Here is a 3,134-nt window from a genome sequence, read left to right as displayed (position 1 = left end):
ACCCCTGTCTTAAAAAATTAGCCTTCCTGTACATTCATCTCTATCAGTTTCTCTAGGACAAATTCTATCCAGATGATAACATGTACAAATAGCTGTTTTTCAGCACTCTGAGACTTAGTCAGTTTACCCCTACTACAGGTGAACTTCCTCCATTGTAACTGATTTTTTTTAAAGTATATGATTTAGTTCATATTCTTGTGCTTGAGTCATTTGGCTTTGTAGTCTGCCTAATACTCTTGTATCTGGGTCTTGCCTTTGCTTTGATTTCTATCTTCCTGCCTTAATTCCTGTTACTGAACCTTAGCACGGTGACTAGAGCTCTACTATCCATTGGACATCTTCCACTCTGCCTCTTGCTTACCCAGACTTTGAGTATCACTACCCTATAGCTGTTATCCATCCATTAGTTGAAGCACATGGCTGCCTACAGGCATGCTTGCCTAGGTTACAAAGTACAGCTATTATTCACTTTGAATGCTATACGTTGGATGATGGATTGTGTTCACAGCACCATTGACTGAGTTGGTCCAAATGTGTGTTTCTCATCCAGGTGTAGAGTTTGTTTCAGATCCCAGTCCTCCAAGTTTTCTTCATCCTATCCTATAACAGGTAAGTAGCTATGCTAAAGCCAGAAAAAAATATAAATGTTGTGTTAGCAATTGTATTGGAGAAAGAAGAAGGATGGTTTTGTCACAGACACAGACTCATCCAAAGAAAATGTACAGATAGAACAAAATAGTGGTACTGCCTTTTGAAAGGGAGTAGGGTAGAATCCTATGTCATTGTTTAAATTATTTCAACATTAATACTCATTATCAAATGTTGTAATCAGTTATTTATACTAGGAAAAAAACGTAAACATTTAAAGTAATTTGGCAAAGAACCTTGGGCCCCAAGGGAAACATATAGTTTTAGGCTACAGATAATGAGTGGTCTCTGGTGGTGGTGATGGAGTAGGTAAAAGAGATTGAATTGGAGAGCACAAGCATTGTTTCCATTGCACCAATAGAGCAGAAAATCTCACTAAGAGGTAAGGAAAAAAATCCTCCCAAGCTGATTTTAATGACTATGACTGTCAATTTTTGCTGAGATGTAAGCATGCCTATCTGATGAGTATATATATTATAGGGTTTATACATACTCATGCACCACTTAGATGTATAGATGGCTCTCTTTGCGTGTCAATAATGGTTCTGTTCTGTCAACAGGGAATCTCATTTCATGAAATGGTTGAAGGACTTTTTAAACTGGAAGTAGTTATCTTTGTACTTTAAGCTTCTCGAACAACACATAGCACATTATCATGGTAGGATAAACTCTGGATGAATTCTTGATATCAATCAGGCTTATTGTTTTGGTGGCACTCCTATGAGAAATTTAGTTTTTCTCTGATTTGCAGACAGAGAAACAAAGAAAAAGACTTGGTTGAGGGGAGTTGCAGTTTCCTGAAACTGCAAATTTTTACCAAGAAGTATTAGTGGTATGTGAAGAGAATATCTGCTATCTATTTGTTTGGCTCATCATGCATCATTACATTATGTTTCTTGAAGTCAGTCTATAAACCAATTTTAAGTGAAGTTTACCTTGGCAGCAACTAATGGGGAAAATATTCGTGATTGTGGAATCAGACTGTGCAATCTGGAATTGGAAGCAGCTTTCTTTATTCATGTTGAGTGTAAGATGTGACAGTGGGATCTTCAAGTCTTGACACAATTCCTGTGGAAGTATAGTAAAGACCTGCTCTGCAGGAGCTGGCTGGTTGGGCACAAATAAGCAGTCTTTGGGGCTTCCTCTCTAAGTAGTTCCTCATGTTAATTCAGATCTAATTTCCACACCAAAAAGTACCAAATCTATACAGCTTAACCTTCCAAATAATCTTCAGCAAAAAACCCTGGAGTAAAAGCTGTGGAAAATAATAGCAAGAACTTGGCAGAATGCAAAACAGTGAAAAATAAGACACACACATACATAAAGGAGGTTTATGTGAAAATTCTTTTGTTGACAGCTTATAGAAAACCCACTCCTGGCTAATCACTTCAAATTCCATATGCTCCAAAATAAAATTAGCATCTTTTCCAAAATTACCTATTATTTTCTACGTTTTTATAAAGGATAAAATTATGCTACCACATTAGTAACTACAGAGTCACCTCAGTAGATTTAATCTCTGTCATCTTTTCAAGGAACTCTGTTGATTCTTCCTCCAAATATATATTTGTCTTACCACTGTATTTACCTTATCATAATCCTAGTTTTAGGATTGATTATAGTCAATCTGGATTTCCGTGCAAGTTTCTTTTACCAACTTAAACTTCAGAAGCCACTGCCTACTTTCCAGTCTCCTCTGTATATTCATTGCCAAAACAACCTTGCAATAAAACACAAGAATGAATTATGTTGTCCACATGCTTAAAAATCTACAATGGCTTTCCAGTGCCTAAAATATCAAGTTTTATCCCTGCCCTTTACACTCTAGTTGCAGTTTATCTATCCATATAGCTCTTTTCTCTACAGCACACATCATTTACAACAGACAGGACCAGGTTAACATTATCGTACGCTGTGTGACACGTTAATTTCTGTTACCAAAAATAGTAACTGCTACCATTTGTTGACGATTTATCATATGCCAACCATGAAACTAAGTTCTTTTTACCTAAGTTCTATTTTCCTTAATGCACAGAAAATCAATGTAAAGCACGGATTTTCATCTCTGTGTTAATAAGTGAATACTTGAATATTAGAGTGTTAAGTAACTTGCTTAGGGTTAACCAGCTAGTAAAAGAGTGAAGACTTAGATCCCTTTTGGTATAAACCCAAAGCCTGGGCTCTTTCCTCTCTGTGACACCAAAGTCTGTGCTCACATGCTCACTTTTCACCAATAATATTTTAACCTTTCCCATCCTTCTTTGCACTTACCAAAATTTATACTTCCGGTCACTATACACTTCTCTCCCTCCACCATCAAGGTAATCACTAACCTGACTTCTGAAAATGCAGATTAGTGTTTTAAACTTTATATTAATAAAATAATATAATATGTAATCTTTTGTGCCTAGATTCTTTTACATATTGTTTATAAGATTCAACCATATTTTTGTGTGTAGTTGAAATTTGTTCATTTTCCTTGCTTT

Source organism: Homo sapiens, chromosome X (genome assembly GCF_000001405.40).
Source record: "Homo sapiens chromosome X, GRCh38.p14 Primary Assembly".
Lineage (NCBI taxonomy): Eukaryota > Metazoa > Chordata > Mammalia > Primates > Hominidae > Homo > Homo sapiens.
The sequence above is the reverse complement of the archived record's forward strand: the minus strand, read 5'-3'. Positions refer to the sequence as shown.